This window comes from Homo sapiens, chromosome 10, assembly GCF_000001405.40.
Source record: "Homo sapiens chromosome 10, GRCh38.p14 Primary Assembly".
Classification (NCBI taxonomy): domain Eukaryota; kingdom Metazoa; phylum Chordata; class Mammalia; order Primates; family Hominidae; genus Homo; species Homo sapiens.
Window position 1 is genome coordinate 48,926,134 of NC_000010.11, and position 15,353 is coordinate 48,941,486.

Consider the following 15,353-nt stretch of genomic DNA (forward strand, 5'->3'; position numbering starts at 1 on the left):
ACATTGCTGGCCCCCACTGCCTCCCGGGAGAGGAAGCCATCCTGGAATCCTATGACTCTCAGGCTGAAAGACACACCCACTTCTGCACAGGAGTTTAAGGAAGGCCACTAGCCCCTCCATGGCCCCAGGCCCCAGGAAGGGTGTTCCTGTTTTGCTGGAATCTCTGACATTGGAACCAAGGATTGTCAGAGTCCCCAGAACTCTGGGTGATGAGACACTTGCTCCAGCCCATTTTAATTTGGCATGGATTGGCCTGGGAACTGCAATGTCACCCCCTAGAGAGTCTGCTAAATGAAGGATGGTGTGCACTCTGGCTGAAGCAGCCAGCCAACGCAACAGATTGAGGAGACAGAGAGGCAGCCTTAGCCAAAGTCCCTGCAGAGGTTCAGTAATGCAGATGTTCCACTGACCTTTTGGAGGAACTGACCACAGGCAAATAAGGTCCCTGAAGAAATCATTTCAGTGTGACCCATTGTCTGCTCACTCCACTGTCCAGGGGCCAATATGTAGGATGTTCATTTTCATAGATGTACCATATATATGTGGGTATATTTCTAAATATATACAAATAGTATGAATGTTAATGATATTTTAATAGCATTAATGGAGTCATTTAACTGTAAGAGCTTGGTAATTGACAATGAAAGAGAGAAAGAGAAACAGTTTATGGGGCACACATAATGCCACGAGCCAGTTCACTTCATAGGCATGTGTCCCCAAGTAGGTGGCAATGGAGGCAGGAACTCGTTGTTTCTCAGCTTCTCCAGTCCCTGCAGGCCCAACGCAGTGTGAACGCCTTGCCACATGGAGTGTGAGTCAAGAGTGTGAAGACACAGGATTTTCATGTAGCATTGCCCAGGGACATTGGCCAACTGCATTCTCTGGTTCTCACCAGAGAGGCAGTGACCTCTTTGCCCTGGAGAGCTGCAGGCTGCTGTAGTGCCCCTGTATCAGGGGCGGCTGTATGCAGACTGCCTGAAGTTTGATTTTTACCGTGTGAGCTCACTTGAAAGTCTAACCTCTCGTTAAGTACTTCTGCTGTTGCCAAACAGCAGCCGTCTCTATGTGCTGGTCAAATGATGCCTCCCCCGAACCCTCCCCCCTGCTTCCACACACATCCTCAGACCCATGCTAAGAGGTACATCATGCCCGTGTCTTCATAAAGTGACCTCTCCTTTGCCATTTCAGTCATCCGCAACACTCTCCTTTGTGGTAGGAATATCCCTCCTATTGTGGGTGGTGGGGGGAGGGGAATATGTGTGAGAAGTTTGTCCAGGCTCACACAGCTGCCTTATTCCAGCACTTCTGTGGGATGCGTTCTTCCCATTACGTCAAAACTTCCACCCACATGCCTGTAAAGTAGCAAATGGAGTGTCTGTATAAAAATTCTCAGGTTCACTTCATTTGGCAATTATCTGGTTAATTTGATCAACCAAGCTCTAAGTGTCTTACTGGGATATTATGCATTTATAGCTTTGTCTGCCCCTAGTATTATTTACTTCTCTATCCTTCGCACCAGCGTGGCTCTGCACATGTGCTGCCTGGAAAGCCGTTAGCTGTCAAACTGCCCTCTTTCCCCTAGCGGATAATAAGAATTCAACTTTTATTTGGAGCAAAAGTTCCCAAGAGGTCACACGGCCCAATAACAAAAGATTATGCTTTCTTATTGGTTTAATAGCATCTATTTTGTAATTCTGGATGTACTCTGTTTTAATTGGATTTGTTAAAGGAACAAAAGGGAATAAGCACCTTACAATTAAAATAAAATATTAAGATGATTAGTTTAACAGACTAGAAATGCCTTGTTCATCCACCCTATGTTCAAAACACACAAACCAACCTCAAGAGAAGCAAAAGTCAAAGAACCAAAGGCAGACCTGGCCCCTTTGAAGCTCATGAGGTGAGCAGTGATTCCATTCCACCCAATGTGTTTTAAGCGCTGCTATTGCCAGACAGGTGTTATTTTGTCTTCTCCTCACAGCTCCTCTCCTCCCGCAGATTAGGAAACTGGGTCTCAGAGAAGCGGCTTGGCAGGGAAATGTGCCAGGGCTTTGGCTGTAGTGGGTGTGCCCAGCCCCCTGTTTACCTTCCCCATGACCCTGGATGGTCTCCTGAACCCCACAAGCTTCAGCCTGAACTCCTGTAAAGAGGATGTAAAAGTGGCTGCTTCCCAAGGTCAGGGGAGGGCAATGCGTGGCCCTTGGAGGCTTTGGTTTTGACGTGTGTGTGTGTGTGTGTGTGTGTGTGTGTGTGTGTGTGTGTGTTGGTGGGGGTTGGCACAGGAGGCAGCAGCATGGATGGGACCACACAACTGACCAAATGGGGAACCTGGACTCCAGGTGCCAGCCCAGTAGAAACCCTATTCAGACCCTGCAGCCTAGCGTCCTTATGGACCGTGACCCCTGCCTCCCTGAGTGCAGGCTTTCAGTTAATTTATCCTGGGGGCCAAGAGGACACATTGCTCCTTTGAGCTGCACAGGCCCCCTCGTATCATGCTGGGGCATCTCCTCACATGGAATTCTTTCTGCACTTCACACCCTCTAGTTCTGGTGAGGGCCCACTGGCGACAGCCCAGAGTCCACTGGAGCACCCCATCTGCCGCAGGACAGCTCGCAGCCCTGTGGCAGCTTTGCTGACCGCCTATCACCTGGGAAGGTGTGAAATGACTGCAAAGGGGAATGCTGAGGGTCAGCTCTAAGGACACAGCTGAACTTCCCACAGCCCTTTGAAGTCATTCACTCATCAACAGTATTTGTTGAAAACCTACTATGAATGAGGCACTGTTCCAGGCAGCAAAGAAAATGAAGGTCCCGCTCACATTCTAGAAAAATCAAGCAAAAATAAGGTGTAATGACAGGTGTGATGGATGTTAGGAAGAGAAAGAGTCAGGATAGAGACATAGAGATTAGAAGAGAAGAGTTGGAAGATGCGCTTTTTTAGAAAGGGGGAGGCCAGGAGGGCCATCTTTGAGAAGATGATACCTGAGCAGAGATCAGAGGAAGTGAGGATTCAGGGAGAGAATTTCAGATGGAGGAAACATCAAGTGGAAAAGTCTCTTTGCAGAGAGGAGGGGATGGACAACAAGAGGAAGGAGAGAAGGAGGACAGAGGAAGAAAGAAGGAAGGAGGAAAGGAAGGGAGGGTGGGAGGAGGCACAATAAAAGATAATAAAGAGGAGAAACCCAGCCCTGAGGCTGGTACCAGGCATGGGGTTGCACTGGGCTGGTCTCAATAGCCTCTAGGCTCCAGCAGGAAGCTATTGTGTCCTGGACTCCATACTCCAGGCCAGTGAGTGTGGGCATCAGGGGGCAGTGGAAATAGCCCAGCATGGGAGGAAGTTGATTGGGTGGGTTAGAGGCTGCCTCTGCCACGTGCCCCCTGAGGTCCATGGCCAAGCCCCTTGCTCCTCTTCTCTGCCTATACTTATTGTGCTGGTCTACACTCACTCTCCTGGTAAGCCCACCTAGTCTCATTGCTTTGAATACAGTCTATACACTAACGATTGCCCGGTGTTTGGTTCTTGCCCGGACCTTGCTCCCCAATTCTGGACTCACTTAGCCTACTGCCTACTTAGCATTTCTTCTTGGATGATGATAAGCATCTCAAACCCTGTCTGTCCCAAGCCCAGCTCCCAGCCAGCTGCTCCACCACAGCCTCTTCCGGCTGGGCTGACAGCCTTGGCCTCCTGTGGATACTCAGGGCCCAAACTGTGGCATCAGACTTGACAACTCTTCTTCCATCCACCCCCAATTAATAAAGCAGACTGACCTTCCCCCACACACTGATGCCCCTTATTTCTCTGCACTTCTCCTCCAATAGCATCTGGCATCTAAATGTAGTTTATGATGCATTACTTGTTATGCTTGCATTTATTATCTATCCCCCATTCTCCTCCCCCACCTACCCCAAGACACATGGCCTGTCTGGTTCACTTGTCCATTTCAGTTCCTAGCACAGAGTAGGCCCTTGGTCAATACTAGTTTAATAGATACAGTCTAAGCGCTTACAAGGTCAATCCTGATTCCCATGCCCTCAGAAAGGGTCTCAGCTCTCAGCTTTGTCCCAGATTTCATAGCTGAGAGTCAGCTGCTACATAATCAACTTGACTCACTGTTTTTACATGTACTGTTGAAGGATTTCCAGAATATGAATATGTTTTAAGGGAGAGGTCCCTCAGGAAAACTCAGGTTGTCACTTGCATACTAAATATTTGTTGGTCACTGAGTGTGTACCCTCTTGGAGACAGGAATGCTTTCCAAATAGACACAGATGATGGCACGACGGATTGTTTGACCATGAGAACAAGTGCACTATGGGGCTGGAGAGTGATCAGTAGCATCGCACTTGAGGCCACCTTAACTGGGTTAGGCCAAGGGGAGAAGGATGGGAGCCAAGGCAAAGAGACGAGATGAAGCAAGGAAACGGCTGGTACTCTGGGAAGAGGTGGGACTAGGCTATGGAGAACACATGGAGGCCACTTCTAAGAATCTCCCTTCAGGAAATAAGAACAAGACTTTTGATAGAAACATGCTTATGGTGGTGCCATTTAAAATAGTAAAAAAAAATTAGAAACAACCCAAATATCTAACAATAGATGAGTGATTAAATAATTAATGTGTAATCATAGAATGAAATAAATAATAAACAGAAACTAAAACAAAAAAAAATTATTTCCCAAAAATGTCAAAAGGCAAAATGCTGAAGATGTCATGTTAGTGAAAGAAACATTTGTCCGTGTGAGCCCTGTGTTCTCTGGCACACATGCACCCCCATACCCAGAAAAGAGGAGAGAAAGAACGCCAAGAATATCAGCAACACTGCTCTCTGAAGGGACGGTACTGGACTCTTTTTACTTTCCTTCTTATATGTCTACATAGTTTTTAAATTCCCTGCAACAGATATAAAATCTATTTCTAACCAGAAAAAAAAGGTACAAACACACATGCATGCACACTCACACTCAAACACACACACACACACACACACACACACACACACGATTCCGCTTCTTTTCCTCTTAGAGGACAGGGTGGTGGTGGGAGTTATTCACTGGAGCTAGATTTGCCTTTGGCAGTTGCAGATAGAGGATACCTGAGAGGTGTCCCCACCACTGCAGACACAGGAATTGGGCAGCAGGTGGAGAGTCTGGTTGCCTGAGGCAGCCAGTGCTGTCCTAGGTCATCTGTGAGCTCTTTATGCTGTCCCAGAGTGGAATGCAAGAGGTGGCCACTGAGAGTGGGGGAGGAGCAGGCAGCCCAAGGCAGCCGTTCCTGTTTCCCTCCAGAGGTACTCTATCAGAGCCAGCCCACCCTCAGCCAGCCACAGAGGGCCGTGCTATAAACAACACGTGGCCTGTTGTGAGAGGGTGGCCCGTATTATGGTGCAATATGGGGAGGATATGTCAAGCAAAAGCTGAACTTTCTCCCTGCAACCTCCATCCAGAGGTGAAGAACTGTGGGGAAACTGTGGCCTACTTTTTGAAGGAATGCTTCAGGTTAGTGGAGAAAAAGGGTAGTTTGGGCTCATTGCTTGCATGGAAGGCCCTTGTCTTTCAGAAAATGCTGCAATGTCTAATCCTAAATTTCTTCTGTAGAAACTTTTCCTAAATTCAGATTTCCTTTTCCTCCTGGAATCTTCATGAGGTTTATCTGAAATCATGACTGAAGCACTAGACACTGCCTCCAATAAGAGAGATAGCTTTCCTTAGGACTTTGTGCAAACAGACATAACTATTGCCAGGAGAATTGAGAATGATGTGGTCAGGACAGGGCAGCACCCTGGCAGCTTCTAGATAGGATGGCCACCCACATGTTAGTCATGCCGGCTGTCCCTTTCCTGCTGTGCCTGAAAAGGCCGGTGGGTAGGCTGCAGGGAGCATGGGAGCTGTGAGGCAAATAGAAGTGAGCCCCACTCCCCTTCATTGCCAACCCAGGTTTAGTCTCATAACACGCCTGAGCCCAGTTTATTGCTCTGCAAAATGGATTGGTCAATTGCTGGTTGTTTGAAGAGTGAATGAGGTGATAAAAATGTTAGGTGACCAGTGTTCAGTGGGCACTCAACAAAGCCAGTCATCTGGCTTCTACCACCAGTGGCGGGTGCTGGTGGGGAATGCTGGTGGAGTCACCAGACTGCACCGTCTCCATCACCTCCCTCAAACCAGCTGCTCTGGGCCACTCCCCACTGGTCAGGAATCTCAGATGGAGGAGTTGGAGAACAATCTTTGCTGATTCCCAAATACAAAGTCTTTGCAACCTTTCAAGCACTGACAAATTATTAATACTAACATTACTAGTGATTGCAGAAAAAGAGATGTAATAATAGCTACTTACAGATATAATTATCCCTATACTCACTTTTAATCTCTAGAGCTGGCTACAGTTCAGTCTCCTCATTCAGTCATCTGTCCAACAGTTCCTACTGGAGTTGTACTATGGGTCAGGTCAGTGGATATGCAGTGAGCAAGGCTATACCTTTGTGTTTCTCGTGAAGCTACCATGTCAAGAGAGAGCAAATAAAAAAAAAAAAGAGGGAGAGAGAGAGAAAAAAAAAACCAAGGAGCATTTCAGTTGGTGTAAATGCTCTGCAAATAATAATAGCTGATGATGTGACAGAGAATGCCAAAGTCAGAAAGGGCATATCGGTGGGGACGTTGCTAACTCAGACTGAGGTGGGTGGGGAGGTCCTTTCTGAGAAAGCGACATCTGAGCTGTAACTAGAATGCTAAGAAGAAGCCACATGGAAGGATTTTGGAAAGAACTGACAGGAAGAGGGTGTAAGCTGGAGGTCAAGGAGGGGAGGGCGAAGAGCTGAGCAAGGGCAGTGCAAGGTGGGCCATGTGCTCATGGGTAGGGGACAACATAAGGCCTTCTATAAGGATAACGCTGGCCGTGGGGAGGCAGCAGAGGCAGGGAAGGAGAGTGATGGAGACAGGCCAGCTGCAGGCAGGAGAAGAGGGGAGTCTGTGCTGAAGGGCATGGCAGAGGAGGGACCATGTGGATCCAGGCTCTGTGGTGGAAGCAGAGCAGATGGAACATTCTTCTAGATTGTATATGTGGACCAGGCAACGAGAAAACCCAAGGGCAGGCTGGAACTGCTAGAGGGGCCTAGCACTTCCCATATCTTTTCCTTCCTTTTGCCCAGCACAAAGTCTAAGTGCCTCATGTGCATCATCTCATTTAATCTAGTCACTCCACTTCACAGATGAAACACCCAGGGCCTAGTCAAAGGCGCATGCCTCGACTGGAGCCAGCATCTCTCTGGTGCCCTTTCCCAAGGACTTAGCTGCCATCTGGCTTTTCCATACAAGCTTGGCTTTACAATGTCAGATGGCTCTCTTGGCCGCCAGTGGCTCTCTTGGCCACCCAGGAAGCTCCTGACTCATCATGTTCTGCAGATGCTGGCAGGAGCTGAGCTAGATCCTGTGGGAAACTTTCTTCCTAGTCCAGGTCAAGCCCCATCCTTATAGCTCATCCCTCCCTGAAAAAGAAGCATGCATGTGTTATTAGACCCAGTTCTAGGGGCTGAGATGAGTTCCATTATATGATACTAGTAGGGAGCTCAGAAACTGAAAAATTGGCAGTGAATTGCATTGGCAATGGGCTGAGAGTTGGCGATGGGGCTGGCAACAGAGTAGACATGGGCGTGGTTCAATTGCACACCTTGTGTTCTAGGGTTTCAGGGGCCTGGAAACATCATCTAGCTTTCACTCTCTCATCTCTCCGCTGATAGGAAGGGAGAAAGGGCCTGACATCACCCTTGATACTGGGTAACAGTGAGAGACCATTGGAGGCCCAAGCAGAAGCTGGAGGCACCAAGCACCAGGCACTAACAAACCGGTCTGCAGACAACCACAGGGCTCAGGGGCCCTGCAGGGTGGACAGCAGCTGTCTCAGTGCCTCCCATCTCTCCCTGGAGGCTGAGGCTCAAACCCAGAAGGCATGTGATCAGAGCAGCTTACAGGCCTGTCACAGCCCTGTCCTCCTAGACGTGTGACTTTGCATAAGTTTCTTAACCTTTCTGAGTCCCCATTTCATTGGCCGGGAGTGTTGTTCCATACTTGGTTCACATAGCATCCGTGTTGTTGATAAATGTATGGAGAATTTATTATGTGCCCGACCCTTTGCAAAGCAAAGACACTACCTACTTTTTAGCACATTAAAATGAGGTTCCTCCCTCTGTATGGATTCTGTGGACCACCCACTATAGGCCAAGTATTTTACAGACATTACAATTGAGTCACAACTGCCTGACATGTCGATTTTCATCTCCACCGGGGGGATACAGCAATTGAGGCTCAGGGAGGCTGAGAAACTTGTGTGGAGTCACAAAGACTCTAAGTAGAGGGCCTGCCTTTTCCCATTATACCTGTCATAAAAGTTGGGTCTTGAGGAGTGTGTTCCTGTGTGTCCCATGAAGAATCCCCCTTTGCAAAGCCCAACTTAGCCTAGGGCTTAACCACTTATTAGTGGGTTCTAGTGTTCAGGATAACTTGTAGAAAAAGTTTACCACCAGACTTCTTAAAACATGGATTGCTCTCCCAACCCCATTACAGTAAGCGGTAATCAGGTTTGTTCTGCTGGGCTGGACCCTCCTGAACGAAGAAGCAGTCACAGCTTAGTTTCCTTAGAGGGGTGACTGGTCGGGTGAAAGCAAGCAGTTCAAACACATCTCCGCCTAGCCTGTAGAGCAGCAAAAACACTCACAGAGACCCAGACTTTGGAGAGAGGATCCCGTGTGATCCCCAAAGCACCAATGACTTGCACACCTGCCTTCCCAGGCTCGCCTGTGCCCTGGCCCCCGAGGATGCCCACTGTGCCCTAGCTAGCTGCCCTTCCTGACTGGGGCTCAGGCAAGCTTCCTCCTCTCCTAAATAATGCATTAGCTGTTGCCTGGGCTTTGTAAATAAAGCATACTGGGAAAACAGGCATTTCCAAAGCTGCTTACTCAAAGGAGGGGAGAAAGAGAAAAAGTAGAGATCCAAGCAGTTGTTTGGCACAGTTAAAGTAAATCGATAAGCGCAGGGCCGCCGCCCGAGCAAAACTTACCCTGCTAGTCCCAGCTTCTCCTCCTCAACTGTGAAACTTTGTCACCAGGCAACAAGAGACTTAGGACCTGGAGGTCATTAGCACAGTCTTGACACCAGCCTGCAAAGTGAGAGGACGGAAGGCTGAAAGGGTCTCTAAGACACTCTAATTTCCCGACAGCCTGGCTTGCCTGCCACGAGGAGGGAACCCCAGGGCTCACCCCCTGTGATTCCTGCAGTTGGGCTTTTCCTGCTGTTCACCCAGCAGTCAGTGGGAGAGGATCGAATCAGAGCCCCTGTCTATGGCAACGGCCAAGCGGATGTGGCTACACAGGGAAGAAGCCACACATTTCTCTTAAAAGAGACCCACATTTCACTTTAATAGCATTCATGAAACATCACTCCCCTTTCTTCGAATTTGTGCAAGTATTTTTTTTCTGCTCTTTGGTTTTTGAGAGGGCTGTCTTTCATCTATTTATTTGAATTTAATTATTTGTTACTCTTTTGTTTCTCTTTGCACCCTTTTTCCACTGTTAAATCAGAGTAGCTACAATACTCATAAAATCATACAGCCCTGTAATCATATTCTCTTACTTGATTGTATGTCATTAAATGCTGATGTGTAGTTTCTGAAATCTGCATCCTGAATGAACACACAGCAGTAAGCCTTGTGCTTTGCTTTTCCTGCTGTTTCCAGCCTGGCATTATCATGAATAAGGCTGAAATTATCTATTTGTGCATCTATGGTCTTTTTTTTTTCAGTTTTTTTCTTACATTAAATTTCCAGAAATTGAGAAAATGAGGAAAACAAATTAAGTATGAAAATTATTATGCAGATGATAAAGCATTGGAAAAAAATTTGAAAATGTATATGCAGAAATAAGAAATTGAAATGCTCTAAATTTTTCCACCTAGTCATAAATTAGAAAATAAATTAACTAGCAAATAAGTGAAATAAGTAATTTCAAATCCAAAATTAAATTTAAGTAGTAAAAATTTTGGAAAGTACAAAAAAAGCAAAATAAAATGACTTCAATTTAGAAATAAAAACAAAACAAATCATTAAATGAGAGCTAACTATAACATTTTTTAATACATAAACATTACCATATCATGTTTTAAGTCCAAAAAATAAAATACATAATTTAATGTAGACAGCAAATGGATTAAATAAATTTCTGAATGAAGATGACTAGAAAATTAAAAATTACCTCAAATTCTACTACCCAGTATACTTCTAATTAGAATATATGTGAATACATAATTTAAAATTGAAATTAAATAATATAAAAATCATAAAGCACATAAAAATAAAATCAATATTTGAAAGAGGAAAATATACAAGATAAATACATTTTAAAATATAGGTATGTAAAACCGTATGAAAATTAAAAGCACTCAGGCCAGGTGTGGTGGCTCATGCCTGTAATTCCAGCACTTTCGGAGGCCGAAGAGGGTGGATCACAAGGTCTGGAGATCGAGACCATCCCGGCTAACACAGTGAAACCCCGTCTCTACTAAAAATACAAAAACATTAGTTGGGCATTGTGGCAAGCACCTGTAGTGCCAGCTACTTGGGAGGCTGAGGCAGGAGAATCGCTTGAACCCAGGAGACAGAGGTTGCAGTGAGCCGAGATCGCGCCACTGCACTCCAGCCTGGGCAACAGAGTGAGACTCCGTCTCAAAAAAAAAAAAAAGAAAAAAAAAGAAAATTAAAAGTGCTCATAATTTTGGCAACTGGCAGTAACTTTGTATTGTATAAACTTCAGGTTTTGTTTTTTTGAGACATAGTCTCACTCTTGTCACCCAGGCTGGAGTGCAGTGGCACGACCTCGGCTCACTGCAAACTTCACCTCCCGGGTTCGAGTAGCTGGGATTACAGGCACCCACCACCACGCCTGGCTAATTTTTGTATTTTTAGTAGAGACGAGGTTTTTCCATGTTGGCTAGGCTGGTCTCGAACTCCTGACCTCAGGTGATCCGCCCACCTCGGCCTCCCAGAGTGTTGGGATTACACGTGTGAGCCACTGTGCCAGCCAACTTTCAGATTTTTAACGTATGTACAGCCTCATATTATGGCATAGTTGTACCATAACAATCTGGTCAATTTACTAATGCTCATTTTTTACCATCATGCTGCCAAATATATGCCACTGATTAGTTTGTCAGGTAGCTGGCATTTCATACATTTGGATGAAGATTTTTGTTTGTTTGCATTTGTTTTCTTCAGTGTTAGGGTCCTGGAGCAAGATCTGGTCCTGGCAGGTGCTCTGAACAGTCAGCGTGTCGGTGTTTATGCTGGCTGCTCTGTGCCAGGCCTAGGGTAGACACCAACAATGAATTTCACCTCCCTGGCCTGTACACCACCTCCTTGCCCCACACCTCCATATCTTCATCTGTTAATGGAAATTATGGTAACCTCATTGGGCCTTTGTGGAAATTAGACAATAGGCAAAAAGTCTTCACACTTTCTAACAGGTTAAACAATTAAGTGTTATTATTAGGTCTAGAACTGTATGCAGATTTTCCACGTTAGGGAAATGAAAAGCGATAGGTAGTTATAACAGAGAGGTTTAATGAGCTGTTCATCCAGCAGGGTGTCTCTGGTTTGAAAGGGTACGTCTGTCTCTACATGGATTTCTAATGCCCTGCCTGGGTTTAAAAAGTAGAGTCCAGGTTGACCAAGATGTGCTTCTTAGGAGAAATAAATGGGGAGAGAGGGAGTGTGTTTGGCTTCTCACTGAACAACTCTGTCCCTGCCACACTCTACCCCTGCCACACTCTGCCCCCAGCATCTCCCCAGCTCACACATTCCCTACCCAGGAAGCCTCGCCTGGCAATGGCCAAGCTGGACTATTTTTCTCCTGTCCTGAGAAATAGCCCACACGCATCAGCAGGCCTGTGTTTCCAGCTTGCCCACATAAGCAAATTTTCTTCTCATTGTGGCTTGCGTATGCCTAGTGCTTCTTAACTCAAGAAACAAATCCCTCAGTCACTCACTAACCCATTTTACCATGTCCTCAAAACTGTTTTTGCAAATAGGCAACACAACATGGGAGAATTTGGAGAGGCAGCAGGATTTTGAGATGTGTCTGCATTAGCTCGGGGTCCCAGGTTAACCTGCAGGCCCTCTGTAGTTGTCTGCCATATTAGGGCTACACCTAGCCTCCTAGTGCCAGGTGAAGAAGAGGATAGGCAGAGACCCCAGACTCCTTCCAGGGCTGAGAGGGTGCAGCCTTTAGCCAGATGAGTCCCTCGGCTGAGAGCCTTTGGTCTGGGGTCTAACCCACCATATCTGGAGGCCCAGCCACAGGCTGCTCTGCCAGCCCCCGATGGAGGAAGAGCTCTTGGAACATGCCTCTGGCTCCTTCCTCTCTGCCACCTGCTCTGGGGGCCTGGTTTCAGGGTAGGGTGGAGGTGCTGTTTGGGTGGAGCTGGCCCAAGGGAGAAGAGTCAAAGCAGGACTATGGGGCAACTCAAGGGCACTGATGCTGTGCAGTGTGGGGTAGGGAAGGCCCTAAGGCCACATGGCAGTAGCGCTCAAGCTTCTGAAGCTCGTCTGGGGGGGTAAAGGACAGAGATTTGGTTAAAAATGAAGCAGGATGGGTGTAAATGACCCCTGAAAATAAGGAAGAACTTGAACTACCCACGACGTCCTGATTCAGAGATAATCTTTCCATCTTTGAAGTCATCCAGTAGAGGTGGACACCTGTCCTGGGTGGGAAGGGAGTGAAAGGGTTGATGTGATGTCCCCTGTATGTCCGCCTGTGCTAGGCCCAATAAGGCCAGGCCGGGTAACCGCCACAATCCTCACTGGCTTCATTCGAGTTCTTCTGTTCTTCTCTGCTCCACCCCAAGTTGCCCACAGGCCCCAGTCTTGTCTTGTAGCTCAATGCAGGCACCCAGCAAACCCTGAGGAGCTTCTCAGAATTGTGTCCACTGGGCTGACTGAGCAGGTGCCCAGGTTCCCAGGTTGCACAATTCTAAGGTCACTCAGAGGGGGACTGGCAGAGCCAAGAAGGTCTTGACCAGAAGCAGGCCCCACTCTGCCACTGCACTCTCCTTCCTCCAAGAGTAGAAAAGAATCTCCCCTGCTCCTGAACAATGTCAACATCGCCAGGACCACGCCTGTTGAGTAGCTCCGTGCCCACACCAATGCTAGCCTTTTCCAGACCCATGGTCTCACTGGCTCTCCCACACCCCTGTGTGACAGGTGTGGCCAGTGTGTTGCAAGGATGATATGGCAAATCAGAGCGGCTTGCTGTCTTGCTCGGGGCCCCCCATTTAAGTGGTGGAGATAGAATTTAGATCCAGGTGTCCCTGACTTCACAGCCAGAGCTCTTTCTCAGGCTGCCTCCCACGGATCTCAGGAGCACATTAGAAAGCCAAGAGCCATTTGCAACATCTTATTTAATCTAAAACTTACATGATAATGATGGATGATGGATGATGCGGTTTATTAACTTTTAAAGAAATACTTTCAACTAATCACCAGTTACCAACAAAATTCACATAGATCATTTTAAGAGTTCTGTAATCACCTTCAGATTAATATGATTTTAAAACAATATTTTTAAAAAATAGATCTCACCTTTGGTTAGGTGTCCTGGAACTGCTGGTAATGGCGTCTTTCTCTGATGGTACCAGAAATAATGGAACTTCCTTGAAGCTGATAGCCAATGAAATGAGGAGGGGGATGGTGAAATGCCTTTTTCTTCTGTACACCATTCCACCTGATAGTAACATCACAAGTGACCACAGGCAAAATTCTAGAACCTTGTCTGAAAGGGAGGAGAGCAGAGACTGAATCTCATTTCCTGGATCCTAACAGGCACATTTAGCTCCACTTCTTTCATTCCTCTGTCCTCACTCCCCTGTCAACTTCTAAAACAGAGTAGCAAGAGCAGCAGGCTGTGGCAGGCCAACTCCACATGCTCATGGCTCTGGAGGGCTCAGCACAGGTCCTTTTCAAGGTGATGACCCTCACTGTCTCCAGCCTGGGCTCTGCCCTTGCCTATAGCCTTAAGAGCAGCCTACCCTCCAGAACTGGGTGGGTGGCAGAGTCGCAGACACAGCAGGAGAACCATATCTTCACTTGACCCTTTACAAGCTAAAGCAGTATATCGGAGCATGTTTTGCTTCTGCTTATTGTTGGGTGTTGCTTGCTTGGATACATGGCCCAAATAGATGACTTCTCTATTAGGGATGAAGAGGTAAATCCCAGCCTGAGGGTTGCTTTCTGCTTATGGAAAATCTGCCAAGTAAAGAATTGAATGCAGAGGGATGGAGAGCCCAGGACAGAAGATGTGACGGTGGGGCTATGATGGGAATGTGAAGCAGCACTGTCCCCCTGGGACACACGGGCAGCCAGGCCTTGTCCAGACTGAGCCCGGCAGGGTCCTGACACAGACCATGCAGGTGGAGCAGAGAGTATGTGGGGACTGGGTCTGTAGGTACCTGAATAGAACTGTGGCAGAGGGGATGGATGGAGAGAACGGATATGATTTGGCTTGGTGTGGTGGAGCATCTTGAGAAGACCTGGTCTTGGGGGTAGAGGAGAGTCTTATGGAGTTGGGGAAGAAACGGCTGGAAAAGGAGCAAAGGGGCACCTTGGAGGCTGAGGAGCTGGGCTCTGTAATCTCTGCTGAAGAGAAGAGAGGTTTCAGGTGAAGGGAGAGGGGCTCCTCCCCACACTCTCCCCAGTATTGCATTTTGTTACCCTTTTTTCCTACCAGGGCAGTCCACAATGGGACTTCTTTGGTTTGATATTTAAGTCTTAATTTTAGCCATGTACATTAGTATGGCCTTTTAAAGGAACCATTTGGCCATAGGTAGCAAAATGGTAAATACTCATACTTTTTAACCCAGTAGCACCACAGCTACTCACAGAAGTACCCAGAGACATGTGCCAAAAGGTGCTCCTGGAAACGTCAGTTGTGAGAACAAAGCCTGTCATGGGGGCGGTGAATCAGTTAGGATCCAGCTGTGCAACCCTGCCCCGTGGTTGCAGAGATGAATGCGAAAGGGCAGTGTGAGCCGGTCTCCAGGGCTGCTGCAGCACAAGGGAGGCTGGGTGGAGAACCGGGTGTACGATGTGATCCCATGTATGATTGAAGTTTTTTAGAAACAAACAACAAAAAAAACTATGTAGGCATATAGGCAGGCATATGGGTAAAACATTTTCTGGAACATACACTGGAAACTGGTGACTGTGGACCCTTCTTGGGAGACCCTTAGGCCATATCTCATGGCCTTCCACGTTGTTTGCATTTTATCCACGAGCAAAACAAGGGGTCGGGGCAGGGATAAAGAAGGCCGAGATGTGGCAGGGG

General features: G+C 47.2%; 2 protein-coding genes across 15 annotated transcripts in view; one reads left to right on the top strand and one right to left on the bottom strand.

Moving 5' to 3' along the window:
• Nucleotides 1–13,707, bottom strand: part of LRRC18 (leucine rich repeat containing 18) — a 30,361-nt gene extending 16,654 nt beyond the window's left edge. For 2 of the 6 annotated variants that reach the window (XM_011539822.2, XM_017016276.2), the window contains exons 1-3: nt 13,613–13,707; nt 9,044–9,142; nt 6,353–6,488 (exon numbers count right to left, since the gene is read on the bottom strand). The gene's annotated coding sequence lies outside the window, so the exon portion shown is untranslated. Of the gene's footprint in view, nt 1–410; nt 5,041–6,352; nt 6,489–9,043; nt 9,143–13,612 lie in introns of those variants that run through there. The other 4 variants (NM_001378102.1, XM_011539823.2, XM_011539826.4 and 1 more) reach the window with 2 other exon arrangements.
• WDFY4 (WDFY family member 4) overlaps nt 1–15,353 on the top strand; it is a 298,084-nt gene that overhangs the window by 241,261 nt on the left and 41,470 nt on the right. The gene's annotated exons all lie outside the window — the stretch shown is intronic.